A 25,426-nucleotide genomic window follows, 5' to 3' on the forward strand; every position below is an offset into this window, starting at 1 on the left:
AGCTGAGATACGGAATCAACCTAAGTGTGCATCAAATAATGGACGGATAAAGAAAATGTAGTATCTATACACTGTGGAATACAATTTAGCCATTAGAAAGAAGGAAATTCAATCATTTATGACAACACGGATGAACTTAAAGGACATTACGTTAAGCGAAATAAGCCAGCATGGAAAGAAAAATATCTCATGACCACACTTACATATGAAAGCTAAAAAGTTGAAGTCATAGAAGTAGAAAGTAGAATGGTGATTTCCAGAGGTAAGGGCACAGTGGGAGGAGATGTTGGACGAAGGATACAAAATTTCAGTTAGAGAAGAATAGTAAGTCCAAGAGATCTATTGTAAAACATGGTGACCATGGCTAATAGTAACACACTGTATTCTTGGAAATTTACAAGAAAGTAGATTTTAAGTCTTCTCATCTCTCTCACACACACACACACAAACACACACACACGATAAGTATGTGAGGTAATTAATGTATAAGTTAATTAGTTAGATGTAGCCATCTACAATGTTCACGTATTTAAAAACATGTTGTGTACAAAAATATACATGATTTTGTCAATTAAATAGAAAATAACATTTTAAAAATAGAAAAATAAATACAATTACTCTTGTGAATCCCTTAGAGTTTTTCCTGCTTTAGAAGAGCCTGCATTTTCTTCCTGATGAAACAGTTGGCTGATGTTTAGGGGCCATGCTATGTGAAAAATGTGCCCTTCACATTTAAACATTAGATGCACTCGTGGACAGTGTGTGCTGGAGCCAGCTGGAAACCACTTGTGAGCTGGTTTTGTTCATCTCCTCCCAAATCTATATTCACAGTCATGATGTTGGTAGCTTGAAATCAGCCAAAGTGGGGTATTTACACCACAGAAATTGCCAAGTGCTTGAAACCAGGGCTCTTCGCTCCTTGAGAGCTGGCCTTTAATCAGATACCAGCAAACCATGGGCACCCAGAAAGGTGGGTGGGAACAGAGAGATGGACCAAGGGAACCATGGATTTACAAATTCCAACTCATATTCACGCCAAGGCTTTAGGTATTTGAGCGAAGTTGATTCTAGTGGGGTAGAATTGCTACACAATTTAAACTGTTACTTTTTTCTCTCATTTTTCTTTGCTGAGGGTAAAAAACTGCATTTCAGAAGTTCAACCTGTACCTGAGGTGCCTCCCCAGCAAGCAAGATGGCTGACGCTGGAGTGTGTCTTGGGCCCAGCCCTGAGCTGGAGCCCTGCAGGCTCCTAAGGAGGTGGGCACCACACAGCCAGGGTGGGCTGCGCTGTCAGCTATGGAACAACAGCGCACACCTGACTGCTCAGGGCCGCCTGAAGACAACTAAAGGAGAGGAGCTCTCCTTCATTTTTCCACAGAACACGTAGCTTGGGCCACTTGTGGGCTGAGGTGTCTGTCGGAAGGGGAGGTGCTGGGTGAGGCTGTGCTCTCTGTGAAGCCACCTAGGAGCTCAGTGACAGCAGCAGATGGTGACTGGACAGGAAGGGAAGTCTCCTCCAGTGCCAGGCTCAGGTGTGCTCAGTAAATATGTGCTGCATGACAAGCAGTCCAGGCTGCTGCCTGTAGCTTAGCTGGAAGCTGCTGTCTTGTTCCAGAGCATACATGAGAACCTCAGGGTATTCATGGATAACAGCTAAGAGTGCTGGTAGGGCCCAGAGCACCTAATTCACCTGGGACAGGTCGGGGATGGCTCCCCAGGGCCATGTGAGCTGCATGTGGAAGGGACAGCAGACATTTGACAGGGGATGGCAGGGAAGGCTCTTATGCAGGTGGGAAGGCTGGAGGCTGACAGGGCATCCTTCTGTGGTCCATAAGGGATGGGGCTAACCCCTGTAAATGAGGAGTTGTTTTCCCAATGAACAGCTCCTGCTGGGCTCTCCCTCCCCTCTGTGCCCCATCGAGAGGGGGCTCAAAGGTCTGTGGGCACGTTCTGGGGTTGCAGGTGGGATCTGCAGAGACCACAAACTTCCCTGGTGGGTGGAATAGCTGTGGCTTGAGTCCTTGGTGGGTTTGGAGGTTGGAGTAGGTGATGTGGTCGGTCCTCCTCTGATGGATGAAAGAAACCAAGAACCGAGAGGGAACTCTTGAGATAAAGGAAGTCCTGCAGAAAGGCAGCAGTCTGCTGTGGTTGGGGTGCAAATGTCACCAACACAGTGACGTTGGGCAGAAGCTGGCCCTACCACAGGCCCGAGCCATCTCTCCATCAGTGGAATCTTCCTCCATCAGAGGAATCTCCATACTGTTCTCCATAGTGACTGTACTAATTTACATTTCCACTAACAGTGTACAAGAGATGGATGTCCCAGTTACAGGAATGTAATTATTACACATTGTATGCCTGTATCAAAACATCCCATGTACCTCATAAATAGATACACCTATTATGTACCCATAATAATTAAGAAGAAAAAAATTTAAACAACGAGGGGGGCTTTCCTGAGACTCCACTGCCCACACCAGCTGCCTGAGTTCTCTCCAGACCATACATTCAGGGATTTTTCCTTTTTGTGTTTGAAGAGCCCTCCGTTGTTGGTGTCAGAGGAGGAAATGCCTGGCTTCTGGAAGGTTGGTGTCTGGAGCTGGTGGTGGGTGGGGGTTGACTGTATCATACATGGACCTCCCACAAAGCTCCCTGCCTCAGCCCCACTTCTCACCCAACCCTGCATCCCACCTGGCCTCTCTGAGCTCAGAATCCCTGCGGGTTCCTCTGGGCGGACAGCTTCAATCCCTGCTGGGCCCCTATTTGTGTATTCTAAGTCAGTGATTCTCAAACTTAGCTGTGCATTGAGCACACTGGGCTCCCCTGGGTCCTTAAAGGAAAACTGTTCCCTGGCAGCCACCCCAGAGATTCTGATGTGGTTGGTCCAGAGTCTGGCACTATCTTTCTAAGCCACCTCTTCCATCTCTCTCTGAGATTCCAGGCCTCTCTGGTCTGCTCATTAGCTGCCAACCAGTCTCACCTTCATGTTGTGATTTAGAGACTAAAGCAACATAAATGTACTATATTATTTTTAAGAAGCTTAGGGAATGATGGGAGGCATATGCATGTACTTGGTTCATGAATATCTTGAACAAGAAGTCCAAAGCCTAATTTCAATTGTGATTTACATGCTCAACTTAACTTTACATGTCCATTTACATGTCCAACTTAATCTCCAACTACTCCTTCTCTGCACTCTATAATTTAGCAAATACAAACAAACTCCAAGACCACTCCCTTCCTCCCACCGACACACTTTTTCCCACAATCATAAAGTTACTCATGCTGCTCCTGTGATAACGTCTAAGCACTGAGACCAGCTATGGCTGAGTTTGGATCAGCACTCAGGGATTCCAGGGCCCCGGTCAGCCTCTGCCTCTTCTTAACCTCTGCTCTAAGAGGGCTATCACAGGTTTTTTTTTTTTTTAATTTTAGTTTAAGTTACTGGATCCATGTGCAGAACGTGCAGGTTTGTTACATAAGTATACATGTGCCATGGTGGTTTGCGGCACCTATCAACCCGTCCTTAAGGTTTTAAGCCCAGCATGCATTAGCTATTTGTCCTGATGCTCCCCCTCCCCTCACCCCACACCCCCCAACAAGCCCTGGTGTGTGTCGTTCCCCTCCCTGTGTCCATGTGTTTTCATTGTTCAACTCCCCACTCATAAGTGAGAATGTGCATTGTTTGGTTTTCTGTTCCTGGGCTCTCACAGTTCTGAGCACCATATTCTCAGCCACATTCAGAGGCAGAAACCAGTGGGGAGGGTGGGGCCAAATTTCCTCCTCACCCTATCTATGGTTTGAATTGTCCCACAAATGTCATGTGCTGAAACTTAATCTCCAATGTGGCAGTATTGAAAGGTGAAAACTTTCAATAGGTTGGGTTGGGTCATGAGAGCAGAGCCCTCATGAATAGGTTAATGGGTGTCAGTAGGTGGTCAGTAGGAGGCAGAGCCCTCATGAATAGGCTAATGGGTGTTAGTATGTGGTTTGGTCATGAGTTCAGAGTCCTCATGAATGGGTTAATGGGTGTTAAAGTAAGTTTCGCTTAAAACTGCCTCCTTACATATTTTAGGTTCATCCTAAAGGTTTCTCCACACATAGTGAAATGTGACCTAGCTGGATGTTTAAACAAACTATAATCTACTCTTGTATCAATCACAGAGTTTCAGCCCATCACAGACGTCAACTCCTCAAACTGTGTTCATACAAGTAGGCATTAACCTGTTTGTTTGAATAGGATAGGTTATAGCTTAGCCAGTGAAGCTGTTTCTGTACCTCACTTCCACTCTCTGTCTGTTGCTTTCCTTTTTTTGGTCCATAAATCTTATCTGACCATCTGGCAGCCCAGGAGTTGCTCTGAACTTATTCTGGTTCTGGAGGCTACCTAATTCTCAATGGTTCTTTGCTCAGTTAAATTCTGTTAAATGTAATTTGTCTAAAGTTTTTCTTTTATGATGGGTTAATGGATTAATGGATGATCATGGGAGTGGAACTGATGGCTTTACGAGAGGAAGAGAGACCTGAGCAAGTACACTAGTACACTCACACTCAGGCCCCTTAGACTAAGGCTCCCCTTCCTCCCTAGCGTTTCTGAAGCCCCAGCACCCTCCCAGCTTCATAACTGAAAGTCCTTCCTGCCTTTACCCTCATAGAAAGTCTTTTGCCAGGTGATGCTGCTGCAGCAAGAATCGCCATGTGATGGCCTGCGCCACCTCAGGATATGATACAGAATCCCCACCAGCAAGAAGGCTCTCACCTGATGTGCCCCCTTGACCTTGGACTTTCAAGCCCCCATAACTGTAAGATAATAAATTTTTCTTCTCTATAAATTACCGAGTTTCAGGTATTCTGTTAAGAGCAACATCCTGACAAGACGAAGGAGGGTGTCTTAGTCCATTTTCTGTTGCTTTTAACACTATCGACTGATGAGGGAGATCAAATATATGGGTAACTAGTGTCCCCAAAAAGGAGATCAAAGGTATGGAGAGGAGAAAATACAGTAATCAATGCCATCAATTTCTTCCCCCGAAGCCATTCCCCTTCTTACTGAGAGAACCCTTACGGTTCAGATGTCAAGAAGAGATGGTATCAGGGAGGAGGTGGGCATGTGACACTAGTCTGGCCAACCATATGTAAGAAAAAGTTTGGCCCGGCGTGGTGCCTCATGCCTGTAATCCCAGCACTTTGGGAGGCCGAGGCGGGTGGACTGACTGAGCTCAGGAGTTGGAGACCAGCCTGGGCAACGTGGCAAAACCCCGTCTCTACTAAAATACAAAAATTAGGTGGGCATGGCGGTATGTGCCTGTAATTCCAGCTGCTCGGGAGGATGAGCCAGGAGAATTGCTAGAACCTGGGAGGTGGAGGTTGCAGTGAGCCAAGATCGTACCACTGCACTCCAGCCTGGGCAACAGAGCAAGACTCCATCTCTAAAAACAACAACAACAAAAAAACAAAAAAGAGAAGAATAAGTTTACTCAGGACTGCTTTGAGCACTTGCAAATGCCAGCACCACTCTAAGTGCTGTCAGTGTATTAACTAATAGTCTTGTTCAACAACTCTATGCGGGAAAGCATTCTAGTTACTCCCATTTTCATGGATAAAGGCACAGGGAGGCTAAGTCCCTGTTCAAGACCCTGCACAGCCAGAAAGTAGAGTTAGGATTGTAACACAGACAGCTTGGCCCCAAAGCCAAATTTCTTATCCATTAAGCTGTAAGGCTCACATCAATTTGCCCAAAGGTCAACTCATCTAAAACCAATTTGCTGAAAGACAGTTTACTAGAGAGTCCATTTCATGAGTGAGCAAATCACTGAATGACCAATTTGCTGAATTGGCTAAATTCATAAAATATGTATTTCTATCCGTTTTTTATAAAGCTTGGAATGATTTGAATCAGATAGGTTATAAGGCCTTTAGGAAGAAAAGGTTCTGGCTTCAGATTTCTTCCCTGGAAGTCGTCTGCCTCTCCTCCCCCTGTCAGTCTCCATCTCTCTCTGTCCCTTAATCCCCCACTTTCAGGAATCAGCAACTCTAGATTCTTAGGAACTGACTTGTCTTTCTATCTCTTAGCAGGGAATTGGGTAGAGAAGAATTAAACATTGGCACTCTTAAGAAGAAATGATGAAAACTTGTTAACTAAAATGACCAGAAATGTTTAAAAGCTGTTTAAACCATCCTATACAATATGCTTTAAGCCTTATTCATAGTTAAAAGAAAGAAGATTCTGAAAAATGGATGGCTTTGATAATATTGATGACTTGATCGTTCACTGAATTGGCACCTGGCAAATTGGCTCACTTCTGCCCCATAGTGCCTCTAAAACAGGCGTGTCAAACCCAAAAGTCCTTGCTCCATAGCTGTCAGGGATATATCTGACTTTCAAGCAGAGGTATGGGATTCTATTTTTGTGGTAACCACTTGCAATTGTTCATTAGCAATACTGCAGTAAATGCTCATTATGGTAGCAAACACCCAGGGTATAAGTTTTTTGTTCTGTGATTCTAATAATAACTGGATAATATGCATTGAGTGGAAATTTCAATTATGCTGAAATGTTAATTTTTTTCAGGTGAAGAAAACAATTTCACAGATCTATTAGTTGTTACCTGGAAACCTTTTGATTAAGAATAAGGTTAACTATCTTGAACTAGTAAACAAAGACTTTAAATTAATCAAGTATTGTACAATAAATGTATATGAATTACCATTCTTTGTATTAAAGGTTTTTTTAAAGGTTACAGAACCTGATACGAAGCCTGTTTTCCTCTCAATCCCAACATCAGTTATTTAGTTTCAGCAAAACAAAAACACCCATCACATTAGCTTACATTTGTAGGTTTGAATATTAGTTTAATAACCATTGTTTCTTTGTTTTACTGTTTTTATTTATATTATATACATTTTTCATTTATAATATAAAAGCTATAAGCACAAGACATTTATACATAGTTTTATGTTTGTATGTCTTTAAGTAACATCATAATAAAAATAATTTAAATAAACAGTAATAAAACTTTTTTAAAAGAACATTTTTTACTTAAAAATATTTTATTAAATTATTAAAAGAAGTAAAGATAAAATACATCCTCAGTAAACAAATCCTTAATAAGCATAACACAAACACCAAACTGACAAAGTAAAGCATACAAACTACAGGAGAATGTCATTTATGAATAATGATGCAAAAATCACAAATAAAAATATTATCCAACAATAGCACATTAGAAGAATAATACATCAACTGAGGTTTATCCCAATAATGCAGGAAAGGTTTGAAGGAAAGGAAAGGAAAGGAAATCTATTAATGTATTACTAATAAATAAAAAAATGCAAAACTATATGGTATATTCACAGATGCAGAAAGGGAGATGTTAATACTTGACATTTTATTTTTGATAAAGCTTTTCACAAAATAAAATGGATATATACTTTTTTTTTTTTTAATTTATTTTAAGTTCCAGGGCACATGTGCAGGATGTACAGGTTAGTTACGTAGGTGAACGTGTGCTATGGTGGTTTGCTGCACCTAACATCTCATCACCTAGGTATTAAGCCCTATATGCATTAGCTATTTTTCCTAATGCTCTTCCTCCCTGCATCCCCCCCCCGATAGGCCCCAGTGTGTGTTGTTCCCCTCTCTGTGTCCATGTGTTCTCATTGTTCAGCTCCCACTTATAAGTGAGAACATGCAGTGTTTGGTTTTCGGTTTCTGTGTTAGTTTGCTGAGGATAATGGCTTCCAGCTCCTTCCATGTCCCTGCAAAGGACAAGATCTCATTCCTTTTTATGACACATAGTATTCCATGGTGGATATGTAACACATTTTCTTTATCCAGTCTATCATTGATGGGCATTTGAGTTGATTCCATGTCCTTCTATTGTGAATAGTGTTGCAATGAACATACACGTGAATGTATCTTTGTGATAGAATGATTTATATTCCTTTGGGTATATACCCAGTAATGGGATTGCTGGGTAAAATAGTATATTTCTGGTTCTAGATCTTTGAGAAATTATCACACCATCTTCCACAATGGTTGAACTAATATACATTCCTACCATCTGTGTAAAAGCCTTCCTATTTCTCTGTGACCTCACCAGCCTCTGTTGTTTCTTGAGTTTTTAATAATTGCCATTCTGACTGGCGTGAGATGGTATCTCACTGTGGTTTTGATTTGCATTTCTCTAATGGTAAGTATCATTGAGCTTTTTTTTTTCATTTGTTTGTTGGCTGCATAAATGTCTTCTTTTGAGAAATGTCTGTTCATGTATTTTGTCCACTTTTTAATGGGGTTTTTTTTTCTTGCAAATTTGTTTAAGTTCCTTGTAGATTCTGAATATTAGCCCTTTGTCAGATGGATAGATTGCAAAAATTTTCTCCCACTCTGTAGGTTGCCTGTTCACTCTGATGATAGTTTCTTTTGTTGTGCAGAAGCCCTTTAGTTTAATTAGATCCCATTTGTCAATTTTTGCTTTTGTTGCAATTGCTTTTGGTGATTTTGTCATAAAATCTTTGCCAATGCCTGTGTTCTGAATGGTATTGCCTAGATTTTCTTCTAGAGTTTTTATACTTTTGGGTTTTATACTTAAGTCTTTAATCCATCTTGAGTTAATTTTTGTATAAGGTGTAAGGAAGGGGTCCAGTTTCAATTTTCTGCAAACTGCTAGCCAGTTCTCCCAGCACCATTTATTAAATACTAAATCCTTTCCCTATTGCTTGTTTTTGTCAGGTTTGTCAAAAACCAGATGGTTGTAGATGTATGGATTTATTTCTGAGTTGTCTATTCTGTTCCATTGGTCTATGTGTCTGTTTTTGTACCAGTACCATGCTATTTTGGTTATTGTAGCCTTGTAGTATAGTTTGAAGTGTGGTAGCATGATGCCCCAGCTTTGTTTCTTTTGCTTAGGATTGTCTCAGCTATATGAGCTCTTTTTTTGTTTCATATAAATTTTAAAAGTATTTGTTCTAAATCTGTGAAGAATATGGATGGTATTTTAATGGGAATAGCATTGAATCTATAAATTACTTTGGGCAGTATGGCCATTTTCATGATATTGATTCTTCCTATCCATGAGCATGGAGTGATTTTCCATTTGTTTGTGTCAGCTCTGATTTCATGTCATGACTATCCCTATCAGTTATACACTTGATCTTTTAACATAATCCCATAGTTCTTGGAGGTTTTGTTCATTCCTTTTTATTCTTTTTTCTCTAATTTTGTCTGCTTGTCTTGTGTCAGCAATAGTCTTCAAGCTCTGATATCCTTTCTTCCACTTGGTCTATTCAGGTATTGGTACTTGTGTTTACATTATGAAGTTTTTGTGTTGTGTTTTTCAGCTCAATGAAGTTATTTATGTTCCTCTCTAAATTGGCTACTCTGGTTAACAGCACCTGTAGTGTTTTATACTGGTTCTTTATTTCTTTGCTCTGCAAAGTTTGTTATTACCCATTTTCTGAAACCTACTTCTGTCAATTCATCCATCTCAGCTGCAGCCCAGTCCTGTGTTCTTGCTGGAGACATGTTGTGATCATCTGCAGAAGAAGAGGCACTCTGGCTTTTTGAGTTTTCAGCCTTATTCCATTGATTCTTTCTCATCTTCATGGGTTTATTTACCTTTGATCTTTGAGGCTGCTGACCTTTGGATGGGGTTTTTGTGGAGTCTTTTTCATTGATGTTGTTGTTGCTGTTGCATTCTGTTTGTTTTTCCTTTAGCAGTCAGGCTCCTCTTTCATAGGGCTGCTGTGATTTGTTGGGGGTCCACTCCAGACCCTATTAATTTGGGTTCCTCCCACCCCTGGAAGTATCACCAAAAGAGGCTGCAGACCAGCAAAGATGGCAGCCTGTTCCTTCCTCTGGGGGCTCTGTCAGAGAGGGGCACAGACCTGATGCTGGCTGGAATGCTCCTGTATGAGGTGTCTGGAGACTCCTGTTGGGAGGTCTCACCCAGTCAGGAGGAGTGGGATCAGGGACCACTTAAATAAGCAGTCTGGCTGCCCCTTGGCAGAGTGGGTGTGTGCGCTGGGGGAAACCCCCCGTGTCTGGGCTGCCGTGACTCTCCAGAGCCAGCAGGCAGAAAAGACTTAGACTGCTGATCCACAATATTGCAGCCCCCGCTTTTAGTGGCTCCTCTCAGAGAGATCGGAGTTCTGTCTATAAACCCCTGGCTGGGTATGCTGAAATTCCCACAGTGAGGCTCTTCCCTGTGAGGAAGTGTGGATCAGGGTCCTGCTTAAAGAAACAGCCTGGCCACCATCTGACCCAGCCGCTGTGCTGCGCTGTGAGGAATTGCTCCCGGTCCAAACCACCCAGTCTCACTGGCAAGTTGCAGGGGAAAATGGCCTACTGGAGCTGCAGTGGTGGTGGCCACCCCTTCCTTTTGGGAACTCAGTCTTCTTAGGCAGTCTTCAGACTGCTGCCCTGGCCAGTAGGGGTTCCAAGCCCGTAGGTTGTGGTTTGAGGGGTCCCATGGGAGTGAGGCTGCTTGGCTACCTAACATTAGCCCCATTCCAATGGGAGTGAATGGATCTCCTGCCTCACCAGAGTTCCCAGAGCTGAAGTACACAAACACTCCTGTGTCTCAGTGCTGGCTTGAGTGACCACCCACCTGAGCAGCCACTGTGAATCTGCACAGCTCTGTGCTTGGGACCCAAGGCCCTAGTGGAGTGGGCACATAAGGGGACCTCTTGATGTCCTTGCAAGGATCTATGGGAAAAGCATGGTTTTCAGGGAGGTGTAGTACAATCCCTCACCACTTCTCTTGGCTGCGGAAGGGAGCTCCCTTTTCCCCGTGCAGCTCCCAGGTTGGCCGTCGCTCCACCCTGAGTTTCCTCACTCTTCATAGTCACATCAACTGCTTAGTCATTCCCAATGAAAGAACCTTGGGACCTCTACTGAAGATGCAGAATTCACTCACCATTTTCATCATTCTCAGTGGGATCCGCAGAGCAGAGCTGTTGCTATTTGGCCATTTTGGCTGGTTCCATGGTCCTATTTTTTCCTAATCAACGTGATTCCTTTTAACACAATAAAATTAAGAAGGCTGAAAATTCAACCTACTTTGAAATCCAACAACCCACAGGACCATAATATCTAATTTTTGACTATAGAAAATAAGAAATTATTTTATGATGAGCATAGAAAATCCCTGGTTTTAAAAACATTTCTTAAACTGAAAATTTTTAAACTTGAACTTGTCTTCAGCAGAATTAGAAGGATCCAGGCTACCCTATATATCTCATATTCACTATGCCTTCTCCCCATAATTTTTAATCACAGTAACCACTTCAATCTGTCAGCATCTTATCTTTAACAGGCATTTTGTTCCAGGTGACAATAGGTGATAGTTTAAGTAAATGTTTACAACTGAGTGCTATATACTATCACTGTGACATAATACAATAGTAATATTTGTAACTGCCTCAGATTCCTTTTATTATACAATATGACTTTTAAATCAATTAAATTAAAATATAAAATTCTTCTAATCCACCCAGGTCAGATAGAGAATTTCATTTGCATTTTCCTTTACAGTCTATTGCCAGCAACTAATTTTATATCACTTTGCATTAGTGAAAGTTTTCTGTTAGGACAACCGCATTGTAGCTACTCTACAAACAAAAAGGTGTACTAAAGGATATATTTTATGATTTTTTGTTGCAGAAAACTAGCCTGTTACATGGCAAGAATGATGCCATCTTGAAGCAAAACCATTAGGATGATTGATGTTTGACTCCTGCATCTGCAGCAAGGTCTTTGCACACTCTCCAAAGCAGAAACAACCCCTCATAAATAAACAATGTCTAGAGCATAAATAACCCTTCATGAAGATGTCTATCTTACCAAAAAGCTTGGTATAGAAAGTACCTTACTGGAAAGCGGGTGCAGGAATCCACCATCTTGCAGCTGCCTGAGATATCACTTCTGTTTGTAACTCCCTATTAAATGATTTGTTGTTGTTGTTTTAGAAACCGGATTTGTCAGCCTCTTTCTTCAACCTCTCAGCTCCCTGGGCCTTTGGGGGTAGGTTTGCCATAACTGCTCATCACAGAACATTTGGTAGCCAAAGATCCCAGAAATGCCTTCCAGAGCCACACTGCAGAATTGGGCTGTGGAGAGAGCTGCTGCCTGTGCCAAAGACAGGAAACTGCAAGGTCAGCAGCCGCTGGTCGTGATCATGCCATTACTGCCTGCATTCCATGACCAAAAAGACATATCCTGCACCTTGCCTCAACCCCCATGTTACTCAGTTTCAGTGAAAGTCCCGGGTATGGGAAATGACTCAGTTGAAATACATCTGGAAAATGTAGTTTTGAGCTGTTTATCCTCTGCCGTACTGGAAGGCATCTGGTATGGTTTGAGTCTGCGTCCTCGCCAAAATCTCCTGTCAAATTGTAATCTTGCATGTTGGTGGGGGGGGTCTGTTGGGAGGCAATTGGATTCTGGGGGCAGATTTTCCTTTTAGTGCTGTTCTGGGTATTGTGAGTGAGTTATTGTGAGATCTGGTTTTTAAAATGTGTGTAGCACCTCCCCACCCTCCCTCTTCCTTTGCTCTGGCCATGTATGGTGTGCCTGCTTCCCCTTCGCCTTCTGTGTTGATTGTAAGTTTCCTGAGGTCTTCACATCCATGCTTCCTGTAGAGCCTGTGAAACCGTGAGCTAATTAAACCTCTTCACCGTATTAATTACCCAGTCTCAGGTATTTCTTTGTAGCAGTATGAGAATGGACTAATACAGCATCCTAGGTCAGGATTGTAATGGGTGTTGCATGAGCCCTTTCAGGACATTTGCCAATTTGTCCTCAGAAATACACTTGAGCTTGATTTCACCCCTCTCTGGAGTTTTACAGAATGATGTCCACCATCCTTCTGTAAATGTCCATCTTTACTGTCTCATTGTCATCCACTTCCTTTCCCTCCCTTGCTAACCATTCCCACCTGCACCCACACCTACTGTCTTGGCTGTGTTCTGCCCTGGTTTTCAGGAAAAAACCCAGTGGATTCAAGATGGTGCTCAGTCATTGACTTCACTGCAAATCTGGGTCTATCTCAGGGAGGCATCGGATCTTGTTGGCCACACACAGGCTTCCCCTCTTAGCCATCACTTTCATATTTGCCTCCTTCCACAACCTGAGTTCTGCCTGACATAGGACCACTCTTCTGTCTGTGATGTCCTCTGGGCTTGGTGATCTAGTCCACTTTCCTCTAATTAGTTCTCTGAGGGAGCAGCCTGGCCAGACTTTCAGCTCCTGCAGCCTCCCCCTTGGAACTCTGTTGAGTGAGTTTATTAGTCTGTCTTCACACTGCTATGAAGAAATACCCGAGACTGGGTAATTTATAAAGGCAATAGGTTTAATTGACTTACAGCTCCACATTGCTGAAGAGGCCTCAGTAAACTTATAATCACAGCAGAAATCAAAGGAGAAGCAGGCACCTTCTTTACAGGGTGGTAGGATGGAGTGAGTGCAAGCAGGGGAAATGCCAGATGCTTATAAAACCATCAGATCTCATGAGACTCATTACTATTACAAGAAAAACATGGAGGAAACTGCCTCTATGATTCAATTACCTCCACCTGGTCCTACCCTTGACACACAGGGATTACGGGGATTACAATTCAAGATAGATTTTGAGTAGGGACACAGAGCAAAACTATATCAGTGAGACTTTCCTACCTCACTACCTCAGTGTGCACAGGAGGACCAGAGATGGAGGGAAAAAGAACTGAAAAAGTGATAACAAAAAGTATGTATTTCGGTAATTTTTCTTAAGCCTGAGTAAACCAGTTGAAACTACTCCAACCTTTTCCATGAAGTAAAGCACACATTTATTACCAGATAGTATACATGATAATTGCTTCTGCATCTATTCCCTACGGGAGAAGAATAATCCGTCGTTTTTTGTGCCAAGTCCATATAATACAGAAAGGAAACATGGCACATTGCAATATAGTGTGATGAGAGGGAGTGGAGAACATTTAAAAAGCACCTCCCATGGACTGGGGTCTTTCTCTCTCTTTAACTGTAATATATTTGTTTTCTATATCTGGGGTGCTCTTGTGTTGGGTGTATACGTACTTACAATTGTTGTGTGCTGTTTTTTGAATTGATTCCTTTATCATTATATAATGACCCTCTTCGTCTTTTGTTTTGTTTTGTTTTGTTTTTGACACAGAGTCTCTCTCTGTGTTCCAGGCTAGAGTGCAGTCACAGCATCTCAGCTCATTGAAACCTCTACCTCCTGGGTTCAATCACTTCTCATGCCTCATCCTTCAGAGTATCTGGAATTATAGGCATGTGCCACCACTCCTGGCTAATTTTTATATTTTTAATAGAGATGGGGTTTTTCCATGTTGGCCAGGTTGGTCTCCAACTCCTGGCCTCAAGTTATCTGTCTGCCTTGGCCTCCTAAACTGCTGGAATTACAGGTGTGAGCTACCACAGCACTTGGCCCATCTCTTTATTTTCAGTCTATGTGTCTTTACAGCTGAAGCATTTTTCTTGTAGGCAACAGATCATTGGGTCTTTTTTTTTTTTAATACCCATTCAGCCACTCTATGTCTTTTGATTGGAGAGTTTAGTTCATTTACATTCAATGCCATTATTTGGTAAGTAAGGGCTTACTGCTGCCTTTTTGTTATTTGTTTTCTGGTCTTCTTGTTCTTGTTTTCTCCTTTCTCTCCTTCTTTTAGTAAAAGTGATCTTCTCTAGCAGTATATTTTTGTTTCTGGCTTTTTTTTGTGTGTAGCCATTTTATGTTTTTAGATTTAAGGTACTATGAGGTACTAAATAATATTTTATAGCCCATTATTTTAAACCAATAACACTAATTGCATAAACAAAAAAACAAGCAAAAAGAAAACTAAGAAAACTCTGTATTTTAACTTCATCTCCTTGCTTTTTAACTTTTTGTTGTTTCTATTTATATCTTATTGTAATGTCTATGTCTTGAAATGTTATAGTTATTATTTTTGATCAGTTCATCTTTTTGTCTTTTAACTTAAGATATGAGTAGTTTACATACCACAATTACAGCATTATAATATTCTGTGTTTTTCTAGGAACTTACTACCATGCATGAGTTTTGTACCTGTAGATGATTTCTCATTGCTCACTAATGTCCTTTTCTTTCAGATTGAAGAATTCCCTTTAGCATTTCTTGTAAGACTGGTCTGGTGTTGGTGAAATCCTTCAGCTTTTGTTCCTCTGGGAAAATCATTATATCTTCTTCATGTTTGAAGAAGTTCTTTTTGAAGGACTTCTTTTTTTGTGTGTAAAATCTGCTTGGTGTTCTTTAACTTTCTTGTACTTGAATATTGATACCTTTTTCTAGGTTTCAGAAATTCTCTGTTATTATCCCTTTGAAAATATTTTCTACCCCTATCTCTGTCTCTACCTACTCTTTAAGGCCAATAACTCCTAGATTTGCCCTTTTGAGGCTGTTTTCTAGATCTTTTAGGCATGCTTCATTCTTTTTTATTCTTTTTTCTTTTGTCTCCTCTGACTGCGTGTTTTTAAATAGCCTACCATTGAGCTCACTACTTCCTACTTCTTTCTTTTGTTTAATCGATTCTGCTATTAAGAGTCTTTGATGCATTCTTCAGTATGCCAATTGCATTTTTCAACTCTAGAATTTATACTTGATTCTTTATAATTATTTCAATTTCTTTGTTAAATTTATCCATAGGAATCTAAATTCCCTCTGTGTTATCTTGAGTTTCTTTCAGTTTCCTCAAAAGAACTATTTTTGAATTCTCTGTCAGGTCACATATCTGCCTCTCTGGGATTTGCCCTTGGTGCATTATTTAGTTCATTTGGTGAGGTCATGTTTTCCTGAATGGTCTTGATGCTTGTGGATGTTCATCAGTGTTTGGGCATTGTAGAGTTAGGTATTTATTGTGGTCTTCACAGTCTGGGCTTGTTTATACCCATTCTTCTTGGGAAGGATTTTAAGGTATTCAAGAAGACATGGGTGTTGCGATCTAAATTTTTGGTTACTGCAACTTTATCTACATTAGGGGACACCCCAAGCTTAGTAACCCTGTAGTTTGTAAAAGTACTGCCTTAGTGATATTGGATAACATCTGGAAGAATTCTCTGCATTACCAGGCAGATACTCTTGCCACCACGCCTGGCTAATTTTCACTTTTTTTGTTTGTTTGTTTGTTTGTTAGTTTCTTTGTTTTTTGTAGAGACGAGGTTTTGCCCTGTTTCCCAGGCTGGTCTCAAACTTCTGGGCTCAAGCAATTCTCCCACCTTGACCTCCCAAAGTTTTGGGATTACAGGCATGAGCCACCACACCTGGCCCTGAGCTTGTATTGGATGAGAAGTGACCAGGATGTTGGTAGATAGATGACGGTAATGAAGAGGTGTAGAGTGTGATAATAGTCAGATATACCCTCAAAGGACTGGGTATTGGACATTTTATGGAGAAATTGTGACCTGGATACAAGAGAGAAGTAAAGAAGGCTTGAACACCTGTCTATCCTAAAATATGTGAGTGTGATTAAATGACTGCCAACCTCTAGAGTGGTTCAGGGGAGGCAGAGTGAGAGACAGGTTGCAGTTAAGATTAACTTTTATGATATTTACAAATAAACCATTCTATTCTTATGAATTACGTATATTTTTCCTTCAATTACATTTCTATTTGGTTGTAAGTAATGTATTATACTTTTTGATATATTGTTCTTAAATTCAGCACACTTAATTAAATCCTTCTATATAAATGTTATATACTACAATACTATTAATGCTTATATTAAGTTGGAATTAATACAATCTAGATGTTTATAAATTAATATGTCAAATGAATCATCATGAGAACCTTGTAGAAAACAACTACAAAATATAGAAAAAGAAGACAAGGAGATTAAAATGATAACATGGAAAATAATTATTCAACACAAAGAAGGTAGAAAGGGAGGAATAAAGAAACAAAAGATACATAAGATATACAGACAACAGGAAAATGGTGGACGTAAATCTTATCAATAGTAACATAAAAGGTAAATGAATTAAACATTCCAATAAAGGTCAATAGGTTGTTAGAATAGATAAAATAAAAAGATCTATTTATATGATGGCTACTGAGATACAGATAGATGGAAATAAGAGGATGGAAAAGATATGCCATAAAGCAATAATCAAGAGAGCTGGAGTGGCTTTAATAGCATTATGCAAAAAAGAATGTGATAAAAATGGTTATTAGAGACAAAGAAGTATATTTTATAATAATAACAGGATCAGGCCGGATGTGGTGGCTCATGCCTGTAATCCCAGCACTTTGGGAGGCTGAGGCAGGCAGATCATGAGGTCAGAAGTTAGAGACCAGCCTGGCCAACAGAGTGAAACCCCGTCTCTACTAAAAATACAAAAAGTAGCTGGGCATGGTGGCGTGTGCCTGTAATCCCAGCTACTTGGGAGGCTAAGGCAGGAGAATTGCTTGAACCCAGGAGGTGGAGGTTACAGTGAGCTGAGATGGTGTCACTGCACTCCAGCTTGGACAACAGAGTGAAACTTCATCTCTAAAATAATAATAATAATAATAATAATAATAATAATGATAGGATCAATCCATTAAGAAGATATAAAAATTATAGACATATATGCATGTAACGACAGAGCCCTAAAGTATGAAGCAAAAATGGACATAATTGAAAGTACAAATAGGCAATTCAACAATATTAGTTGGAGACTTTAATATTATAATTTTAATAATAGAAAATCTAGACAGTTGTTCATCAAGTAAATAGAAGACAATAGAATACCAAAAACCAATTAGATCTAACACCCATCTATTGAACTTCTTCTAACTATTGAGCAGATTACAAATTCTTCTCAAGTGTTTATGACATATACTGTGGAAAAGACAATATATTAGGTCATAAAACAAGCTTCAATTAACTTAATAAGCATGAAGTTACACAGAGTATGCTTTCCAAAGCCAACAGAATGAAATTAGAAATCAACAGCAGCAGGAAATTTGGAAAAATCACAAATCTGGGAAATATAAAAATGCACTCTTTAGCAACCAAAGTGTCAAAGATTACATCACAATGGAATTAGAAAATAGTTTAAGATAAAAAATCCTAAAAACACAACATACCAAAACTTAATGTGATGTGTTGAAAGCATTAAATAGAGGCAAATTTATAGCTATAAATGCCTATATTAAAATAGAAAGATCTTTTTTCATTTCTTTGAAGTTTAACTTATCTGTTTTTTTCTTTAATTATTTGTGTTTTAGGTGTCTTACTTCAGAGACCATTGTCTAATAAATGAATATTTTTACCTACCTTGAAGAGGTAGCTCTTAGTTTTAGCTCTTATAACTAAGTCTTTAATGCATTTTGAGTTAATTTTTGATAATGGTCTGAGCCAAAAGCTTAACTTCATTCTTTCACATGTATATATTCAGGTTTCTCAGCACCATTCTTTGACAACACTATTCAACACTATTCTTTTCTCCATTAAATTGTCTTAGCATCCTTGTTGAGAATTAATTGATTATTGATGTGTGGGTGTATTACCAAACTTTCCATTTTATTCCAGGTATCTATCATTATGCCAGTACTACGTTGTCTTCATTACTTCAGTGTTGTAGTAAGTTTTGAATCTGTGAAGGGTGAGTCATCCGTATTTGTTTCTATTTTTCAAAATTTTTGGGTATTCCTTGACACTACCATAGTAATTTCAGGACTCGTTTGTCAATTCCTGCAAAAAATCCAGCTGGACTTTGGTAGGGATTGCAATGAGTTTGTCGATGAGTTTGGGAAATATTGCCATTTTAACATTATTAAATCTTGTCATTCATAAGCATAGCATGTTTTTCCATTTATTTAAGTGTTCTTTAATTTATTTTAACAATATTCTGCATTTTTGGGTTCACTTTTCTTGCATTTCTCTTGTTAATTTATTCCTAAGCACTTTTTCTTTTTGATTCTATTGTAATGAATTTGTTTCTTAATTTATCTTTTGATTACTCATTACCAGTATATAAAACTATAACAGGTTTTTTACATGTTTATCTTGCATTTTGTAACCATGATGAACTTGTTTATGAGCTCTAATGGTTTCTTGTAAATGCTTTTGAATTTTCTATATATGAGATCATGTCATTTTAAATAGAGATAATTTTAATTCTTCCTTTCAAATCTGGGCACCTTCTAACTGTTTTTCTTAATTAATTGTTCTGGCTAGAACCTACAGCACAATTTTGAATACAAATGTTGCAAACACACACCCTTGTCTTGTTTTGAATTTAAGGGGAAAGCTTTCCATTATTCATCATTATGTATGATGTTACCTGCACATTTTACATAAATGTCCTTTATCAGGTTGAAGAAATTCTTCTTACTTCCTACTTACTCAGTTGTTTTTCTTCATGAAAAGGTGTTGAATTTTGTCAAACACTTTTTTGCCTTTACTGTAGTAATCATATATTTCCCCCTCCCTTTTATTTATTCTTATCTTCTATTAAATTGATTGATTTTTGCATGTGGAATCATTATGTATGGTTGGGATAAATCCCACTTGGTTGTGTTGTATAATCCTTTTTATATGTTGGTGAAATCAGTTTCACCAACATATAAAAACATAGTATTTTCACCAACATAGTATTTTTTGAGGAATTTTGCATGTATAGTCATAAGAGATATTGGTCTATCATTTATTTTTTATGTCTTTGGTTTTGTGTCAGTATAATTCTAGCTTTATAGAATGAGTTACAAATATCACTTTCTATTCTATTTCCTGGAAGAATTTGTGAAGGATTGGTATTAATTTTTAATTAGATATTTGATATAGTACCACAGTAAAGCCATTCTGTTTTTGCTTTGTGGGAGTGTTTTGATTACTAATTCATTCTCTTAATTGTTATAGGTTTATCTAAATTTTCTATTTCTTCTTGAGTCTGTTTCCATAGTTCATGTCTTTCTAGAAATTCTTCTACTAACTAGTTTATCTCTAATGACTAATGCTGCGGCATATCTTCTTATTATTTTATTGGCCATTTGTATAAGTCTTTTGATGTCTACTCAAACCCTTTGTCATTAAACAAATTAAATTATTTGTCTTTTTACTGTTGAGATATAAATGTTGTTTATATTTTCTTGATACTAGGCCCTTACATGTATGTGGTAAAATGGGTCTGGATTTTCAAAATGTCCCTGGTGTTTTGCCAGCATGGAATGTTCATTTGCTGACTCTCTCCAGGGTTCCTGGCTTCCAGCTATAGGGCTGGTTTCCTCTCTGAAGGCTCTTCTTTTGCATTCCCCTTCCTTACAAATAGTGTTCATAGTGAAGCACTTCTCAAAATGTAGCAGGACGAGCCGCAGACAAAACTCCTCAGACAGAGAGTTAAAGAAGGAAGGGGTTTATTTGGCCGGGGGCATCAGCAAGATTCCTGTCTCAAGAGCCGAGCTCCCCAAGTGAGCAATTCCTGTCCTTTTTAAGGGCTCATAACCCTAAGGGGGTGTGTGTGAGAGGGTTGTGATCGATTGAGCAAGCAGGGGATACGTGTCTGGGGGCTGCATGCACCGGTAATTAGATATATTGGAACAAAACAGGATGGAGATTTTCACAGTGCTTTTCTATACAATGTCTGTAATCTATAGATAACATAATTGATTAGGTCAGGGGTCAATCTTTAACTACCAGGCCCAGGGTGTGGCACCAGGCTGTCTGCTTGTGGATTTCATTTCTGCCTTTTAGTTTTTACTTTTTCTTTCTTTGGAGGCAGAAATTGGGCATAAGACAATATGAGGGGTGGTTTCCTCCCTTAAAAGAAGTTCATTTTGGAGAGCTGTAGGCATGGGGGTGGATATGAGGTTTCATCCCCATTGCCCTGAGGGTGACCAGTGGATAAGCTGCCCAGATTTTGATTCCACATAAGAAGGATTGCTTAACTCTGGAACTTGTGTACTGCCTTTTTGCAATAACTTCCCCACTACCAGGTGGAGTAGTGAGAATCAAGCCAATGTTGAATATCTTCTCTGCTGGGAATCTGTGGAGCAGTTCTGGTTGAGAGCAGAGTGCACTCAAGGTGACGTGCTTGGGGCCACACAGTGGGATGGGAGAGTGGCTGAGATGTCAATGATGAGTCCTGAGCTTGTGGTCAGGAGTCCAGACCCTGTGCTTAATTAGCTGTATGAACTTTCACAGGTCACCTAACACCTCTGAGGTTTGGGTTTCACATCGATTAAATAGGTTTAATACCCAGGAACCTGACTACCTTGAGGTGGTCTTGGGGTCAGGCCTGCAGCTCCAGCCTTGGGGGTGTTCTGCCTGGGCAGCCATCAGGGGAGACTACTTGAGGAGAAGGAGGCGGTGCCTTGGGGTTAAGAAGATGGTGCTCCTCCCTCAGGCTAATGGGAAGGGGAGTTCTTAAATGTCCTGGAGTATCCAGGTCTGGAGAGAAGAGGACATGACCTGAAGCTCAGCAGGTGGTGGTGAGTTTCAGGCTGCTGAGGCTGTGGCAGAGGGAGTGTGAACTTCTCTGCCCCACCCCTTTGAAATACCAGGAGCAGAGCTGACACAGGCTGAAAGGGAAACTTAGTTGTGATGCAGCCAAGAGCCTGTCAGCTTCTGTAGGGGGTTCTCCTTACCCTGAGTGTATAGGGAGGTGATGACCACTAGTGGGAGTGGAGAAACCACACAGCCGCCTGCAACAAGTAAATGCTGATGTTTGCATTGGAGATGTGGGGAGTTAACACTCTCCACAGGAGATTTGTTCTTTTGCTTACAGCTTCTTACTTAGGCAACTGAGAATTGAAGTTTTTGGAAAATGGATAAAAGAAATTTAAGTTATTATATGAGGTAGGGACAAAGTAAAGTCATCAAGTTCAGGAAGGGCATAGCCCAGCCTTGCTGTAAGAGGGTGACTTCTGTGCCTGACCATAGGCTGACACTGGTGACCACGGCCACCTGGGGCAGAGCTGTGAACCCAGGGAAGCAGGTGAGTGTCAGGGGAGGGTGTGGGAGGGAACACCAAGCTGGCTGTGCCCGAGAGAAGGGGGCCTGTCTAATACACTGCCAGGAACATCACAGAATGAGGTTGTACCTTTATCTCTTCTGCAATTACTTATCGACCATGTGTGGTACTGTAAGGGCTGGGAGAGGATGAAAGAGCTGAATGGCCTTCTCTAGACTCGTGGGCTGTCTCCCCAGTAGTAACTTGCTGGCCCTGCCCTTGAAGTGGAAAGAGTGTGAAGGGCTCCATGATCAAGCTCGTCCTCTTTTCTTACGTCGTCCCCCTCTGCTGTTTCCACTGCAGCTGAACAGGCCATCAAGCAGCCTGCCATGGGGCCCTGCTCCAAGAACCGGTTCTTCTGCTGGGCGACTGTGCTCCTGGTATTCATCAGCCTCCTCCTCAGGGAGTGGCAGGGTCCCTGGGAAGGGAGGGCAGTTGGAGAGGGCTGGGCTAGGTTGGCCCTGACCACTGGGTGGGCTGTTCAGGTTCTGATGTCTTTGGGCAACAAAAAGAGAAAAACACTCTGTTATCATTAACAACTGCAACATATTTGGTTGGAGTCCCAATATGGAAAGAATGAAAAGTTTTTTGGTGGTGAAGAGGCTGGGAACCCTGAGCCAGGGCTGCCTTGGCTGTATTGAGGGAAACTTTACCCACTGTCTGGGCTCAGGGCTGAGCTCTAAGCAAATCATCAGAAAGGAGAGGTCCCTTGAAAGTCTCAATCTTAAAATTGTTTTTGTAGTTTGATTAGTGTTCATTTTAAACATTAAAAAGAACTTATATTTGGGTAAAATGTGTCTATAGTGGGCACCCTTCACATCCCCGTGAGTTGCCTTTTCCTCCCCTCGGAAATGCTGCTCAGCCCTTGGATGAAACCATGTTTATCACAGCACTGTTCTAGGAAAAACCCTGGAAAGAAACAGGAGGGGCCCATCAATTCAGGAACATGTGAACAAGCTGAGAAGTATCTGTTCCATGGCATATTATAGAAGCTTACAAAAACAAATGTTCCGGTTATCTGGAAGGAATGTTCAACTTCCATGAAGTCAGATGCCTAGATTTCCATCAGCAAGATTCAGGAACCTGAATACAATACAGTCTTCATTTTATAAAAGGAAACGCAGCCACCAAACTTTAAGTGTTTATACACCCATATGTTTCTAAGACTATGTTAAAAATGTGGAAGGAATCAGTAGATTGCTAACATGGGCTACAGGAGGGCATAAAATTGGGAAGGAAAACATGGAGAGGGAGAAAGTAGGGAACACAGAATGTTAAGCAAAAAGTGAACTGAAAGAAAGACTGTCCAAATCTAGGCTGTATGTCACATTTGCTATTTTATGAACAACTATATGTTTGCATTTATAATAACATTAAATTTTAAAATGAGAAAATAATAATATCTAGTGCATATGAATTTTGATGAAAGCTTTGCTATGATTTTTGCTTTTATATCCCAGCCACTAGCTGAACTAACTTACACGGCCAAATCTAATGATTAGAGAGCACTTATAAAACAGGAGTTCTTGAAGGAACAATGAGCTTTGCAATAGCAAGAAGTTAGATGCCAGTTCTGTCACCAGCAAAACGTAGGCTTTCTCCACTTCTGCAACGTTGGTTATCTGGAAATATGTCTAACTGTGTAGAGTTTTCTTTATAGGCCCTGGGGTTAGAAGATTACTAAACAAAGAAAAAGAAGGAAGGAAGGAAGAAATGAAGGATGGGAGAAGGGGAAGGAAGAAGTAAAGAGAGAGAGAGAGAAAGAAGGAAACAACTTAGAATTTCTCATTTTGCGGGTAGATCTGTGTTCAGACAAAGAAAGTGATTCCCTCAGGGAACCACTGGGAAGGAATGAAATTGAAATTGGTTGTTCCATCAGTCCTTACCTTGTGGTACTGAATGAGACAAGCTCCCTTGCAGTGAAGTTTGGTCAGAGGCTGTTTGTGGAAGGAATATCACTGTGAAATTGCTCTGTTTCCTCTTAGGAATCCTGAAGCTCCAGAGTTGGAGGCATTTTTTTCTGTGGTTTCTGGATTATCCCTGTTCTAGTTCACCCTTGACCTAGGGAGAGGGATGGGTGGTGAAGCAGTGATGATGAAGGTGGGGATGAGATATTTGTCCTGATCATCCCTAAACTCTTACACCCTTCCTGAACATGTGTTTAGATGGGGAAGTGTGGAAGGGAAGGAAAGAGCCTGAGGGTGGCTCAGCTCACATATAATTTCCCAGGGACAGAGGTAGCTGCAGGTGAGGGTGGTCCTCAACTTGGGGGGACCCCCTGACCATAACAATAACAGCACTTACTGAATGCCCACTCCGTGTCTGCCAGCAGGGAGCTGGAAGAGAAAGGGTCTCTGCATTAGGGGCTCCAGACGCAGACACGAGACAATGGAGATGGCACCAAGAAGTGAGGTTTGGACATCAAACATGAATGGTTGGTTTGTGAGTGTGCTGATGGGGGCTATGTCAGACAAATGAGCAATCTTTTATGTTGTTTACAGAGCTTGAAATTGTATACAATTTAAATGAATGTTTAGCTCCACCTTGTAAATGACCAACCACTCCCTGTCTTGTTCTCTCTTCTTCAGGATTAGCATCTCTGTAGATCCAAGAACTCCTGCTGCCTTCCTTCCCTCTCTGAGTCTTCCCTCATCTTCCTCCTGGCTGTGCTCACCATCCAACTTCTGGGGCAGATCCTTCCTAACAGCCTGAGGGCGGAGCCTCCTTTCTCCCTGGTTCCCTCATCCAGGAAGTGAGCTTGTCCAGGCTGGCAGTTTAACCCTCTGTTAGCCAGAAGTCCCTGCTCTGCACTGCCACTGAAAGTACCTGCTTCCCCTTTTCAGAAGAGGGCAATTGAGGTGGAGGCCGCGGCAGCTTCTCAGTCCTGCGGGGCTCAGACGACAGTGCAGCTGAGCTAGTCTAGGGAGGGCAGGTGAAGGTGGAGGAGCTCACGGGCAGTATCCTGCAGGGGAGGCCTTGGGCTGGGGGGTAAAGTAGGCTCCAGGTCTGGCTCTGCCCTCTGTGACCCAGGACAAGTCTACCCCCTAGAGAGTCCCTCCTCTGTTAAAGCAGGAGCTTGGGCAGAATCACCCCAGTCCCCCTCAGCAGTGAGGCTCTGGGAGTTGGTGACTCCCGTGGCTCTACCAAGGTCTCTGCTCTGTCTCCCCATCCTGTCCTGTCCTATCCTGTGGTCTGACAGGCACTGACAGCCAGTGAGCCTGTTTCAGGCTTCTTCAGAGAGAAGACTCTGGGTGTCCCTGTGGCCACTTCCTCAGCCCTTGAGGGAGGAAGGGACCCTTCCTCTCTCAGCCTCCTCCACCTGACCCTCTGCTTTCTCTGCCTCTGCTCCTAAGAGGGATCTCAGGGGCCATTGCCCTCAGGCCACCTGCTGAAAGACATTGTATATAGGCTGTTCTCTAACTGCTATAAAGAACTACCTGAGACTGGGTAGTTTATAAA

At 41.2% G+C, this 25,426-nt stretch overlaps 1 annotated feature.

Moving 5' to 3' along the window:
- Window positions 24,615-24,664: an enhancer, noted in NCBI's record as "active region_1888". NCBI's record gives its function as "activates an Ori minimal core promoter by ATAC-STARR-seq in GM12878 lymphoblastoid cells {active_cell/tissue: GM12878}" and the evidence as "EXISTENCE:reporter gene assay evidence [ECO:0000049][PMID:35858748]".

This window comes from Homo sapiens, chromosome 1, assembly GCF_000001405.40.
Source record: "Homo sapiens chromosome 1, GRCh38.p14 Primary Assembly".
Taxonomy (NCBI): Eukaryota; Metazoa; Chordata; class Mammalia; order Primates; family Hominidae; genus Homo; species Homo sapiens.